The 15,226-nt window shown below is 39.2% G+C and overlaps 1 protein-coding gene and 1 long non-coding RNA gene across 6 annotated transcripts in view; one reads left to right on the plus strand and one right to left on the minus strand.

Annotated features, from left to right (window-relative positions):
* Positions 1–15,226, plus strand: part of WWC2 (WW and C2 domain containing 2) — a 221,521-nt gene that overhangs the window by 129,081 nt on the left and 77,214 nt on the right. For all 5 annotated transcript variants that reach the window (NM_001410864.1, NM_024949.6, XM_024454225.2 and 2 more), the window contains one exon: positions 11,846–11,925. In NM_001410864.1, the coding sequence (NP_001397793.1) occupies positions 11,846–11,925 (80 nt within the window). The remainder of the gene's footprint in view (positions 1–11,845; positions 11,926–15,226) is intronic.
* WWC2-AS1 (WWC2 antisense RNA 1) lies at positions 5,291–12,297 on the minus strand. The gene is made up of 2 exons (NR_126473.1): positions 12,187–12,297; positions 5,291–5,583 (listed from the first exon to the last, which is right to left on the minus strand). It is a non-coding gene; the product is annotated as a WWC2 antisense RNA 1 (long non-coding RNA).

Raw genomic sequence — 15,226 nt, forward strand, 5'->3', positions numbered from 1 at the left:
TATAACGTTTGGTATTTGATAGATCAAGCAGATTTAAAAATTAGTATAGAATAGGTAAATACACGTGGTTGACAAGCTTTATTTAATTAATGTATACAACATGGAGCCTATGCTATATTGGGGTGGGGAAAAATGGGAAGCAAAAATATTTTTCAAGCACATTTAGCACATTCAGGAAAACTGACCATATTTGGGCCATTAGACTTGTTTCAATATATTTCAAAGTATTGGTTAGACCACATTCTCTGTAGTGAATTTGTTAGAAATTCATTTAAAAAATAACAACAAAGCTGTTTCCCACCTTTCAGAAAAGCTAAAATCCAAAAGACGAACAATATGAAGCGTCGTTAAGGATGTGGGGCAGCTGGAACTCTTTACTGCTGGTGGGAAACTGGCCTTTCCTAATAAAGCTGAACGTGTGCATGCACACCTGCTACCATGCAGCTCCACCCTAGAGTAGAGTGTTTGTAGTGTGTAGCCTGTGTCTGGAAGTATGTGTCTGTAGCCTAATGGATGAATGCATTGTGTATGGTCATGCAGTAGAAGCTCATCTAGCAATGCAAATCAACGTACACAACTGCATGCAGCAGCACAGTGTTGAGTGGGTGAAGCTAGACACAGAAGAGTACACACTGTATGAGTCCACTTATATTAAGTTCAGAAAAGACAAAACTATTTACAGGCCTAAACGTTGAGATAATGGTTACTTTTAGGGAAAAGGGAAGGTTTAGTAATTTGGAGGGCACAAGAGTGGCTTCTAGGATTCTGATAATGTGTTGTTTCTTCAGCTGTTGGCCATTACCTGGCTGTTGCTACTTCGAGGACACTCGCTGAGTTGCTACGCTTAAAGTTTTTTTACTTTCAGTGTGTATGTTGTACTTCTAAGAAACCTGGAAGCTACATAATTTGGAACTCTAGAGTAATACACTTCTAAATAATGGGTCAAACATATATGAATGTTCTTTGCTAAAATTAGTGAGTAAAACTTTGAAAAAGAGGATATTTGCATTGCTTCAAAGCATCTCCCCTCAACTTTGTAGTACTTAACCCTGGTGGTTTGAACATGTCTGCTAATTTTGGTACCTCTTTCTTCTTGAATTTGGGCTGGATCCAGTGAGTATCTCCTGACAAATAGAGTATGGAAAGGAAAAACAGGTGATTTATACTATAGAAACCTGGCAGATCCCACTGGAACCAATTGATGAATGTTTCCATCACCAGGGATGAGTCATGTGGAGAGCATATACTCATACATCATTAGATGAGAAGGGCATGTCACCTCTGTGGTATTCTTTTCCAGCATCCATCATCTCAATCTAATTATGAGAGAGTATCAGGCAAACCCAAATAGGAGTACACTTTATAAAACATCTGACTAGTGCTCTTCATAAATGAATAGGTCATTAAAGACAAGAAAGTGAGGAACTGTCACAGACTGGGGGCAACTAAGGAGACTTAACTGCTGAATAAAGTGGTTTCCTGGTGGGTTTTTGTTGTTATTGTTTTGAGACAGAGTCTCGCTCTTTCGCCAAGGCTGGAGTGCAGCGGCTCAATCCGGCTCACTTTAACCTCCACCTCCTGGGCTCAAGCAATCCTCCCACCTCAGCTTCCTGAGAAGCTGAGACTACAGGTGCACTCCATCACAACCTGGTAAATTTTGTATTTTTTGTAGAGCTGGGGTTTTGCCGCATTGCCTAAGCTAATCTCAAACCCCTGGGCTCAGGCAATCTTCCTTCCTCGGCCTCTCAAATTAAATTGGGATTAGAAGCGTGAGCCACCACACCCAGCCTCCTATTGTTTTTTTAAGAGTGGCAGGGTCTCGCTACGGTACCTAGGCTGGACCTGAATAAAAAAGGACGTTAGTGAAAAATCTGGGGAAATTCAAAAAAGTCTGTAGTTTAGTTAATAGTATAGAATGAATGTTGGAGAAAAACTTAAAGCTTTAAATGCTTGTACTAGAAAAGAAGAAAGTCTTAATGAGCAATGTAGTCAACCTAAGAACAGAATAAGCCAAAGCCAGTAGAAGAAGATAAATAAAATTAAAAGCAAAAATTATCAGCTGAGCACAGTGGCTCACACCTGTAATCCCAGCACTTTGGGAGGCCAAAGTAGATGGATCACTTGAGGTCAGGAGTTCGAGACCGGCCTGACCAATATGGTGAAACCCCATCTCTACTAAAAATACAAAAGTCAGTCAGGCGCAGTGGCGCACGCCTGTAATCCCAGCTATTCGGGAGGCTGAGGCAGGAGAATCGCTTGAACCTGGGAGGCAGAGGTTGCAGTGAGCCGAGATTGTGTCATTGCACCCAGCCTGGGCAACTGCCAAGAGCAAAACTCTGTCTAAAAAAAAAAAAGTAATAGAAAACATGGCTATAATAGAAAGGATCAACAAAAGCAAATTTTGGTTTTTTAAAAGAGTAATAAAATTGACATATCTCTCAGCATTGACTCAAAAGTAAGAAGAGAAAATGAGCAAATAAAAAAGTACAGGAAATGAACACATGCTTAAGAAATAAAGAGACATGAGAAAATTTATACTATTACATTTGAATTTTGAAGTGAAATGACTAAATTCGTATTGAAATATTATTAACCAAAACTGATTCGAGATGATAGAAAAAATCTGAATGGCTCTATTACCATGAGTGAAATTCCAGAGAAACCCTCAAGATTAGCCTAGCACAACTTTGACATCAAATTGTGACAAGATTGTATGAACAAAATATAAGCCAACCATATTCATAAGCAAAGAAGCAAAATTCCAAAACAAAACATTGTAAACTAAATACAGCAACATTTTAAAATTATATATAATAGCTAAGGTGGGCTTATCCTAGGAATATACAATTTAGGATTTGAAAATTATTCACTGTACTAACAGAGTGAAGGGAAATTATTATTCCAACAGATACAGTGAAAGCTTTTTTTTTTTTTTTTTTTTTTTTTTTTTGAGACAGAGCCTCACTCTGTCACCCAGGCTGGAATGCAGTGGCGCGATCTCAGCTCATCACAACCTCCGCCTCCTGTGTTCAGGCGATTCTTGTGCCTCAGCCTCCTGAGTAGCTGGGATTACAGGCGGGTACCACCACACTCAGCTAATTTTTGTATTTTTAGTAGAGACAGTGTTTCACCATGTTGGCCAGGCTGATCTTGAACTCCCGACCTCAAGTGATCCACCTGCCTTGGCCTCCTAAAGTGCTGGGATTACAGGCGTGAGTCACCATGCCCGTCCCAGAGAAAGCATTTTGATAAATTCAGCTTTTATTCATGTTTTTAAAAATTGATTCAACGAGGAATGAGTGCTACAGAATAGGACATAGGGAATGAAGGAGAGCAGGTTGCAGGATTTTTGTTACTGTTTTGGTTTTTTGTTTAAGAGACAGCATTGTTGTCCAGCTTGGACTCAAACTTCTGGGCTCAAGTGATCATCCTGCCTCAGCCTCCCGAGTAGCTGGGACTACAGGTACACACCACCACACCCAGTTTGGTTGCAGTTCTGAATAGGTGTTCAGAAGAAGTCTCATTGAGAAGGCAAAATTTGAGCAAAGACTGGACAGCAGTGATGAAGAAATCAGTCAGGTGGGGGAGAATCAGCGTACATACAGGTTTTGACACAGGAGAAGGTGTGGGATCTTCCAGAAACAATTTGAAGTCAAATGTGGCCTCAATAGAGAAAGGAAGAGAGTTAATCCAGGTGATGGAATGAAGACAAAAGAGCGTGTCGGCCTGACACACCACTGGAAAGGTTGTGGATGCGCATCTGAAATGGGAAGCCATTTGACCATATGTTTATTATTTGTGTTTAATGTTTGCTAATTTAATTGGTATGTAATGACATAATGCTTTTGTCTTTATTAGTAGATGATTTTTAAATGATGTTTTACCATGTGTATTTCCATTTGCTAGTTTATTTTTTTAATTTAACAGCTTTATTAAGAAACCATACAATTCACCCATTTAAAATGTACATTTTAATGGATTTTAATACATTCATAGTTACATGCCCATTATTGCAATCTAACTGTAGGACATTTTTGCCCTGCCCCCAGAGGGAACCTTGTGCCCATTAGCAGTTCTCCCCATTCCCCACACCTCCCTCCTCCATCCTCTGAGCCCTGAACAACCACTGTTTCCTGTCTTTCCCGATGTGCCTGTTACAGACATTTCATATAAATGGCATCGTATACTGTGTGATCATTTGTGACTGGCTTCTTTCACTTGGCATGTGTTTTCAAGGTTCGTTCATGTTGTGGCATGTATTAGAACTTCATCCCCTGTACTGCCAAATAATATTCCATTATATGAATAAAGTTTTATTTTATTTTTTTGAGACAGAGTTTCTCTCAGTCGCCCAGGCTGGAGTGCAATGGTGCGATCTTGGCTCACTGCAACCTCTGCCTCCCGGGTTCAAGTGATTCTCCTGTCTCAGCCTCCCGAGTAGCTGGGATTACAGGCGCATGCCACCACACCCAGCTAATTTTTGTATTTTTAGTAAAGACAGGGTTTTGCTATGTTGGTCAGGCTGGTCTCGAACTCCTGACCTCAAGCAATCCATCCACCTTGGCCTCTCAAAGTGCTGGGATTGTAGGCGTGATCCATTGCGTCCAGCCGTATTTTATTTATCCAGTCATCAGTTGGCAGATAATTGTTTTTTTGCCACTTTTTGGCTATTATGGATAATGCTGCTGTGAACTTACATGTACAAGTGTTTGTGTGGACATAGGTTTCTATTTCTCTTGGGTATATGCCTTGAAGTAGAATTGTTGGCTCATGTGGTAATTTACTGTGTATTTTTTTTTTCTTTTTAAACCTTTTTTTTTTTTTTTTTTTTTTTTTTGAGAGAAGTCTTGCTCTTGTCCCCTAGGTTTGAGTGCAATGGCTTGATCTCGGCTCACTGCAAACTCTGCCTCCTGGGTTCAAACGATTGTCCTGCCTCTGCCTCCCAAATAGCTGGGATTAAGGCACCTGCCACCACACCCGGCTAATTTTTGTATTTTTTAGTAGAGACAGGGTTTCACCATGTTGGCCAGGCTGGTCTCGAACTCCTGAACTCAGGTGATCCACCCACCTCCGCCTCCCAAAGTGCTGGGATTATAGGTGTGAGCCACTCGCCCAGCCTTACTGGTTTAATTATTTGTGGAGATCTAGCATTGACCTTCCATATATTAATATTTATCTGTTATTTGTATCTTGAGATAGTATTTTCATAAATGTTTTATGTAATTTTTCTCATTGGCTTTTGTTTTATTTCCTTTTTATTATTGTTAAACAAAAGATTTAAAAAAAATAATTGTGTTTAGCCATCTCGTTTCTGATGGCCAATTCCATTTATTAGCCATCATACACGGTTCTAGCAGCATCTGGGATTCTGCTTTCCTCTGTGCTTTATGAAAGTTAAACAATGTTTTATTCTGAATTCTTTGACTATCTATCTGGAGTTGACTTCTTGTTTTCTTTAAAGGTGGCTTCAGAGATGAAGTAGGTGTTGAGGATTTTCAGTAAGGTGGAAGTGGTAGTCAGGAGAGGGATTTCCAGAAGGAGCAAGTTGACAGTTGCCCTTTATTGGCTTGCTTAAGGAGCTCCCTGCAAGACAGTGGAGAAAATGGTGAAAAGGGAAGGCAGTCATTAGTAAAATACCATTTTGCTCGTTAGAACTTTAATGTTGCAAGATTCACTTTTAGGGCAAACTTTTGAAACCTGTCTGTCTTGTGATCTTTCTAAGGTCTACAGGTTTCCAGAGTTTACTTTTCCTTCATTGTCATCTTCTTTCCCCTTCTTTTAAAATAAAACCTATGACACTAGGATTATAAGAAGTGGTAAGAAGCTCTGGATTTTCAGTCCTACTTACCACGTTTAATCACAGTATCTTCCTGGTTTTCTGAAATAACTGAAATCAATGTAAAATATCAGTTGCTTTAGCGTAGTTAGTGTAGACAGTGGGAAATGTGCAGAAATTGTGGGCTCTTGCTTCCAATTTAGCACTCTGGGTTGTGAGATTTGGCTCCACAGAAATAAAATTAGGTGGTTAGCTACAGCTGTAGTTAAGTTCAGTGATGTGAGAGAAAACACACACACTGGGGATTGTGGGCCTTTCATGTCTTCATTTCCAGTGGGATACAGGAATAATGAAGTTTCTAAGGCAGAATAAGGGTCACAGATTTTATTTAGGTCATTTTGCTACAATTCTAATTTGTCTTTCTTTTTACATGTATTATCATGCCATTAATAACAAAACTTTTTAAATTGTATTTTTAGAAGTTCTCCTGGGTTCTAGATAGACTGTGATAGCAGGGTAACCTTTAGCAGGTTACTTACCTTTCCTCTTTAGGTCCCGGGTTCTTTACCAATAAAATGAGAATGAAAACTGTATCTAGTAGTGTAGTTTGAGGATTGAAAATGGGTATTTGTATTTAGCACAGTGCCTGGAATACGTTAAAAGCACTTATGAACTTAGCTCTCATTATTGCTTCCTAGTAGAGTCTACATTGTGCTAAGCTTCTAGGTCAGCATTAGCTTAATCTTCTAGTTGGGATCTAAGGACATTAGTTTTTACATTCTGTGTCCTACATTTGAGGCTGGGTTAGAGAACAGAAGAGTGAAAACAGTGATCCTCCAGTAGCTAGAATGATGCCAAGTGGTTCCAAAGAAGAAAGGTTGTTGAACTACTAATTAACACCATACCGATAAAACCAAAACAACTAGAAATAATGTCTGCTTGGAAATATTCATTTCACTTATGGGAGCAAACTTTTTGATAGTTCATAAAATGCCATCTTGGTATTTGGGAGCTAAGAATCATTCAGGTTGTCCATTAAGAAGACTCCCCAGTATAAAACCAGTAGCGTATAGCCAACTTTAGGTAAACTAAATAATGTGGGGGACAAAGAAAGCACAGGTTAGCTTCCTATGTGATTGTCACCCAACATAGAATAAAATTTCACTCATATCACCTAAACAGAGGAGAGTCCAACTTTGTCAAGTCAATTTTAGATTTTTTTTGAATTTCCATTTCTTTTGTAATAACACTTAACATGAGATCTGCCCTCTTAACAGAATTTTTAAGTGTATAATATATTCAACTATAAAAACAATGTTGCACAGCAGAGTTCTAGACTAATTTTCATGTTGCATAACTGAAACTTTATTTCCTGTAGCAACTCTCCTTCTGTACACCTCAGCACCTGGCAACCACCATTTTGCTTCTATGAGCCTATTTTAGATACTTTATATAAGTGGAATCATACAGTATTTGTCCCTCTGTGACCATCTTGTTTCACTTGGCACAATGTCCTCAAGGTTCATTCATATTGTCACATATTGCAGCCTTTCCTTCTTTTAAAGGCTGCATAATATTCCATTGTATATACACACTATGTTGTTTTAATCCATGCATCTGTCAATGGACATTTAGAGTATTTCTATATCTTGGCTATTGTGAATCATGCTACAGTGAACATGGGAGCACTAATATCTCTTCAAGATAAAGAATGTCTTAAACAATTTTTAAAAAAATTTAAATTGACCTATCATCATAATCCAAATGATTTTTTGTGTAATATTTATCTCATGTAATCCAAGTGATTTTAAGACTTCTATTTTATGTCAGTAAGATATAGTATTGTTTTAATTCATTATTTCTAAATGGGTTCAATATCATCCTTGTTTTAATCAACTGTTTTCACTTGATTTTTGTATATGAGAGAGATAGGGGTCTAGATTCATTCTTCTGCATATGGATATTTAGTTTTCCCAGCACCATTTATTGAAGGGACTGTCCTTTCCCCAGTATATGTTCTTGGCACCATTGTCAAAAATGAGTTCACTGTATATTTATGGATTTGTTTGCTGGTTTTCTATGTCAATGTGTCTGTCTTTATGCCAGTTGTGTGCTGTTTTGGTTACTATACCTCTGTTGTATAATTTTGAAAAAGGAAAAACTTCAGACGAATTAAATTTAAAGGAGTTTAATTGAGCAATGAAAGATTCGTGAATCGGGCGGCCCCCAGAATCACGGCAGACTCACAGAGACTCCAGGGGTGCCTTGTGGTCAGAACAAATTTATAGACAGAAAACGTACAGTGATATACAGGAATTGGAAGTGAGGTACAGAAACAGCGAGATTGGTTACAGCTTGGTGTTTGCCTTATTTGAACACAGTTGGAACATTCAGCGGTCTATGAGTGGTTGAAGTATGGCCACTGGGATTGGCCAACACTCAGTTATTGTTACAGGTGTATACTATTAAGTTAGGTTTTCAGTTTTGTCTGACTATTAAGCTAGGTTACAGTTCATCCACAAGGTCTCAATTATAGAAGTATGAAGTCCTTCTTAGGCCATATTTAGTTTGCTTTAACAATTTGAAGTCAGGTAATGTGATTCAGTTTTGCTATTTTTGCTCAGGATATTCTGGGTCTTTTTTGGTTCTGTATAAATCTTAGGATTGTTTTTTCTGTATCTGTGAAAGGATTTTGATAGGGATTGCATTGAATCTGTAGATTACTTGGGGTAGTATGGACATTTTAATAATATTGATTCTTCCAATCCATGAACATGGTCTATCTTACCTTTTTTTGTGTGTCCTCTTCAACTTCTTTAATCAATGTTTTATAGCAGGGTTGTTCAATCTTTTGGCTTCCCTGGGCCACATTTAAAGAAGAATTGTCTTGGACCACACATAAAATACACTAGTACTAACAACAGCTGGTAAGCTAAAAAAAAGAAAAAAAGCAAAAATCCTCATAATGTTTTAAGAAAGTTTACGAATTTGTGTTGGGCTGCATTCAAAGCCATCGTGAGTTGGGCAAGCTTGTTTTATAGTTTTCATTGTAGAAATCTTTCACTTCTTTAGTTAAGTTAATTCCTAGGTATTTTATTTTATTTGTAGCTGTTGTAACAAACTATTTTCAATGGTAAAGACAGGTTTCAGCTCAGATATTTGAGTGCTATCAATTTTAGGACTGATTTTTTTTTTTTTTCAAAAGATAAAAGTGTTGCTGTCTTTTTGGCAAAAAGCACTTGAAAATGCTGTTCTAAATAGAAATACATGTAGAATGAGCTACTGATTGCTGTGGCTCTTTTGATATGATAATAGTTTAATATTAAAACTGAAATGTTTTTGTGATATACTGCGAATGAGCTCATTGCTCTTAATTCATATTACACCACCTTTAAAATCCTGTTCAGGTAGCCTTCTCCAGGAGTTCCACCCTCATCCCCAAGCCATAAGTAATCCTTTCCTCCTTTGAGTTCCAGTAGCACTCTTTATACCTCTCTTTGTATTTATAAACTGGGCCTTGAAACATAATTATTTGTATTTCTTTTCCCTAATAAAATACGAGTACCTAAGCACAAACTGATAAACATTCAGGTTAAACTCAACGGATATGTTATTGAATATCTGCTTTGTCCAAAGCACTGTGCCTAAAGCTATGCAAACATGAGTATTACACCGCTCTTGTCTTTGTCACGTTGTTCCTCATAGTGCCTGGTCTCCCTCTTGACATTTTTCTCTTGTATTCGAGGATGCCCTTTTTTTTTCCTCTTACATCTCTTGCCACTACTTCACAGTGTATTTTGTCTCTGTCTCTAGTAGACATGTGAATAATGAATATGCCCAACGCTTGCTCTCGAACACTCTTCTCTTTTCAATACACACCCACTTTAGGTAATCTTGTTTATTCTCGTGCACCTAAAATAATATCTTTATGCCAGTGACTCTCAATTATCTATCTCTAGTCCAGACACTTCTGAACATCAAGTCCACATATTCTAGTTGCCATTGAAGTCTCCTGGGCATCACGGAAATGAATGTCTTAAAGAAAACTCTTCCTCTTTTCTTCCACATTTGGTCCTGTTCTCCAGGAAAGCACCTTCGTCCACCCTGCTGGCAAGCCAAAATCCTGATGTGATCTTGGTCACATGCTTTCCCACACCCTCCACGTTGAGTCCATCACCAAGTCCTGTTGATTCTGCCTCTGAAGTATCTTCCTCCTCTGGCTCTTGCCCACATGCCAGCCCACAGTGCTGGCATAATGGACCCTCGTGGCACTTCTGCTCAGTCCCCACAGCGTTGTCACAGTGACTATTTAAAATCATAAAGCAGGTCTTGCTTTAATCTCCTTGATTCTCGTTGTTCTTAGAGTAAGATTTAGAAATTCTCAACGTGGCATCTGTGTATCAGTCCTTTTCCAGTTCCATCTTTTGACACCCCCACCCTCTGTAATCCAGCCACAGTGGCATTCTTTAAATTCCAGAGGTTTGCTGAATACCCCCTCACCCCGCTGTCCCTTTAGGGTTTTGCACAAGCTCTTCCTGTTGAGGACCCCTTCTACCAAGTGAGCCCCACTAACCCTCTCAATTGAAACACTGTTTCCTCAGACAGGCTCCACCCAAGCCCTCAGACTAAATTAGGATCTGTTCTCTTGGCATATCTAGGTATCCTGAACTTAGAGCACCTTTGGTAATTACTAAGATTTCTTTTGTTGGCTGATTATTTGCTCAATATCTGGCTGCTCCATGGTCTGTAAGATCCCTGAGGGCAGGGATCATGTCTGTTTTGTTCACACTCAGGCCTAGCACCAGACACATAGTAGAGAGTCAATACCTATTTGTGGAATGAGTAAAATAAATCAACATAAAAGTTCAAAAGCACTCTAAAATATTGCGCAACAGAATGTGTTTAAAACTTAAGGCTCTGGCTGGGCATGGTGGCTCACGCCTGTAATCCCAGCACTTTGGGAGGCCGAAGCGGGTGGATCGCTTGAGCCCTGGAGTTCGAGACCAGCCTGGGCAACATGGTCAAACCCCATCTCTACTAAAAACACAAAAACTAGCCAGGCGTGGTGGCGGGCGCCTGTAATCCCAGCTACTCTGGATGCTGAGGCATGAGAATCGCTTGAACCCGGGAGGCGGAGTTGCAGTGAGCCGAGATTGCACCACCGCACTCCAGCCTGGTCGACAGAGCAAGACTCTGTCTCAAAAAAAAAACAAACAAACAACAGAAAAAAACTTAAGGCTCTAACTTAATATATGGAAGTAAGTTTCTAACCCTTGTGAGAAGACCTTTATTAGTTTGTGACTAAACCAGGCGTGTGCTGCTTTTCTGATCTGTCCAATTTTAGAATTGTTATTACCAAAGTATATATTTGACAACAGGAAAAATATATTTTATCAGTTTGACAACAAATATTTATTGATCATCTGCTGTTTGCTTGGCATGGTTGTAGATGCTTGGGATACAGCTGGTGGGTTGCAGCTTACTTTCCCACGGAGGACAGACAGTGTACACGGAGAATTTCAGCTCCTGAAAAATACTCTGGTCTAAATAAAACAGAGCCGTGGCAGGGGCAGGGGGGCTAGAGAAGTCCTATTTGAAAAGATAACATTTCAGCTAGCATTGGAGGGACAGGGAGTCAACTGCGGGAGATCTGGGGAGAGCTTTCCAGGCAGAAGGAACTGCCAGGACATCTGAGGAACGGAGGGGTGGGCAGTGGCCCTTGGCACAGTGAATGAAGGAAAAACACACACTTTTATAGAGATGCCATGACTTGGAGTTCTTATTCTGCCCATTTTGGTTGGAGACAATGATGATGTCCAGCTCATAAGAATGTTGCTAAGTAAGGTAATGAAGGTAAATAGTAGTAATAATACACATCACTGATAGTTTTAAACATCATTAATATGCCTTCCACAGAATTTATGTGAAGGAGAAACTGATAAAGTAAATGTTACTTTAACTCATGGCTTTGTTTATGTGTTTGTTTACTAATTTATTATCTTTTAAAACTGTAGACTGTGTTGCTAATTATCTGCAAACATTAATGTTTATGTTGATTTCTCTTTAAAGGTTAAAAAGCTAAAGAGAGAGCTCTCACAGATGAAGCAGGAACTGCTCTATAAAGAACAAGGCTTTGAAACATTGCAGCAGTGAGTATGAAAAGACTGAATCAACTTTAGAATAAGCTCCCTAACTAGTATGAATACAAAGAAAATAGAAGTACAGATTACATAAGCGATTTCTTAAAGAAACGTAAAGTAAAAAAGTTCAGAGCTCTACACCAAAAGAAAATAAAGCAATCAACCAACAGATAAAAAAACTTGGGAAAGATCTATGCACTTGAAAAGATCCAAAGTTTTTATTAATCATTGGAGATCCAAAGAAACCAAAGTGAAAAGCCTTTGTCTTACCTTTATCTCCTGGACCCTTGCTGGCCTCCTCTGAGATTGTGGTACAGAGCTAAGAGACTAGGCACAAGAAATTCCTCTCCACATTCGGCTGGGCTGGCTGTACTTGACCCCTGTGTGAGCCTGCAGCTGCCCTGGGCCCTTGGGTGGAGGCGTGTCTGTCTCTCTCTCTCTCTCTGCCAGCCCCAGGGATGACCTAGAGTCTAACCCTGACAGATGGCAGGGGAGCAAGAGCAAGTTAGGATTATTAGCAAAGGAGCGGGAGTGCGCTCCTCACTTCCTGGTTCCTCTACCTTTCCCGTTTGCTACTGAAGTTGGCTGGGCCGTTAGCAGAGCCCTAAGCTGGGCCAGGTAAAGTGGAAATGGAGGTGACAGAGGGTCACAGGATGAGGATATCCCTTCCGCATTCCCGGCCCCTGAAAGCCACTGTTCTCCCTGCTGCTGAGGCCCAGCCTATCCAAACCGTGACAGGCACACCTGAGACTTTCTAATCCTGCAGTCTCCACTCCACAGGGCCTCTCATGGGAGAGAAGCAGTCCATGGTTTTCACAGCCACATGACCACGGAGAGGAGTTAAAACTTCCCTCCTGCTTGGTGCCTCCAAGTGCGGTGCAGTATTTTTAGGGATGTCCCTGGTCAGTTTTGTGTTCAGGCAGGTTTCGTGTTCTTCCCGGCATCTCCCGTGGTAGCACCTCAGGAATGCCAAGCTGGTCTCAGGCGCCACCTCTGTGGAAAGTACCCAGCTGTGTTCCTTTTCCCTGTGGAATCTTACTTTACCTTCTGCTCTTATTTGGGATGCTCCAAGCAGCAAGCCCCTTTAAAGATCCTGTGTGTCACTGGCCAGATAAACAAACTGGTTGTTCTTGTTTGGGTGATTAGTCATATCTTGGGATACGCAGGCACTGCTCTTGACCACCAGTCAGACGCATGACTTTAATTTCACACGTGCTGTTATCATCCAGACTCCTTTTTTCCTGCTTACCGCATAGAATCATGACCCTGATACTCCTTCAGATGCTCCCATCCTAGTGGTTCTCAAACCTGACTGCATATTAGAATAATCTGGAGAGTGCTTAGAAAAATAATGTTTCTAGTCTCTATGCCAGGTATATTTTATGAGATCCCAAGTGCTTCTCAAGTCCAGCCCTGTTGTAAGAACCTCAGCTGGTTGCAGAGCTCCCCGATAAACCAGGCAGAACTAGAATGACATAAATGCATTATTTAGTAATTGTTTATCAGCATAAAGCAGGGCTTCGTGGTGGGGGTGGGGAGAGAAAACAGAGTTTGAAGAGTGCCGTAACGTGTTTAGCCATATGTTCCACATTTTTAAGGCACATGAAATTATAACTCGCGTCACCATTTGGGATTAAAGGTTAGCCAAACTTGCTGTCTTTGTTATATTGATGTAACAATGCTGTATTGTTTCAAAGCAGTTTGCTTGCAAGCAATTTTTATAGGAATCTAAGGCATGTTTAAGAATCTGTCAATAACATTCCACAAGAAAACAATAGACATTTGTTGTAGAAATTCAGGCATTCTCTTGGAATGATTCTAATCCCTTGAACCGAGAGCAGAAAGATATGATATCTAACATCAGAGACCTCTCCTGTTTATCTTAACTATAGACAAAATAAAGCTGTTCTTATTCAAATGTTAACCACCATACTACTAAAACACTGAATGATCAACAATCAAACCCAGCAGCCAGACTTTTTAAGAAACCACATTCTTGATACTATAAAGGGACTTATATTTGTGGCATGACAGAAAATATATTTCAGGAAAAGATTTAAATAGAATCTGATTGTAGGCTTTGTAACTTTTATTTACAATAGAATGGAATATATTTGTTGAATCTGGAATTATAATGTAATTTAAACTTGAGCTTTCATTTTACTTGGTACAATAGTTTTATACTGGGTAGACAAATGTGGCATTGTTCTCTACGTTATTCATTTCAGTTTGTGGTCCCAAATTTGACTTCGGCCTAAGCAGCAGTGTAGTATATGTGTAAATGGATACCAGGAAGATGCCTGTTTCCATTTGCTGCCTCCAGTGTGCATTCAGAATTGGAAAACAGGCTAGTGATGAAACAGCAAGTCACAGGCATATACAGATTCTGTGAAAATTTGGTTCTCAAGGTATACACTTTCCAGAGAAGGAATGCAAGTGAACATATTTTATCTTTCAAAAGAGACTAATATATTGAGTGAAAATTAGTTATAGGGCACACTCAAGTCAAGAACTTCCAAAAGAAATTTTAAGAAAAAAAACAGCTTTTCTCATATTAAGAACAAAAAGCATGATACTTTAAGTCAGCAAATGATGCTCATACTTCGGTTTATTTTATGACAAGTTAGGGTCAAAAGAGAAAAGGTGGGAAATGAAAAGTGGAGGAGAAAAACAAGAAACAGTGAAATAAAGGAAAAAGGCAGCACTTAAAGTAGAGAAGTTCAAAGGAGGCAAAAGAAAAAGAGCAGAAACGTTCCATGGTGAAAGCTGAGCTGTGTTCTTCACATTTAGCATTCTGTTGAGCAGTGGATAGCCAAGAAATTTTCATGTATTCAAAGCTCTCTGAAATTTAAATTAGCAGTCTTGAACCAGTCCTGCTTTTATTTTTTAAACGTTAAGGTTTTTTTCTGAAAACAGCTTACCTGCTTTTATTTTCAAATGATAAAGTTTATGTTCATTTCTGAATCAAAGATTTGTTTTATCATTAAATTCTGAAGACTTTACACAAACAGGAAGAAATTACTTGAGTTTTAGAAATTCACTTTGACACAATTTCAGATATCCCTATTACTACCTATTTTATGAAACCCCACATTTTAGTTTTTATTTTTAGTTAAAAAGTGCTACATTTGAAAATGCCAAAATGCTATATTTGGAAATATCATTTGTTTTATTTAGTAAGCCATTTCCTCAGCCAAGTTGGTGGATATAATACTTCAGGGAGTCAGAAATTCCATTGATAAATCTCTTCCCAAATAAGTAGAATTAGCTGATATTCAAAGTACTTCACTAGTCCCATCAGATATTCTAA

Source organism: Homo sapiens, chromosome 4 (genome assembly GCF_000001405.40).
Source record: "Homo sapiens chromosome 4, GRCh38.p14 Primary Assembly".
Taxonomy (NCBI): Eukaryota; Metazoa; Chordata; class Mammalia; order Primates; family Hominidae; genus Homo; species Homo sapiens.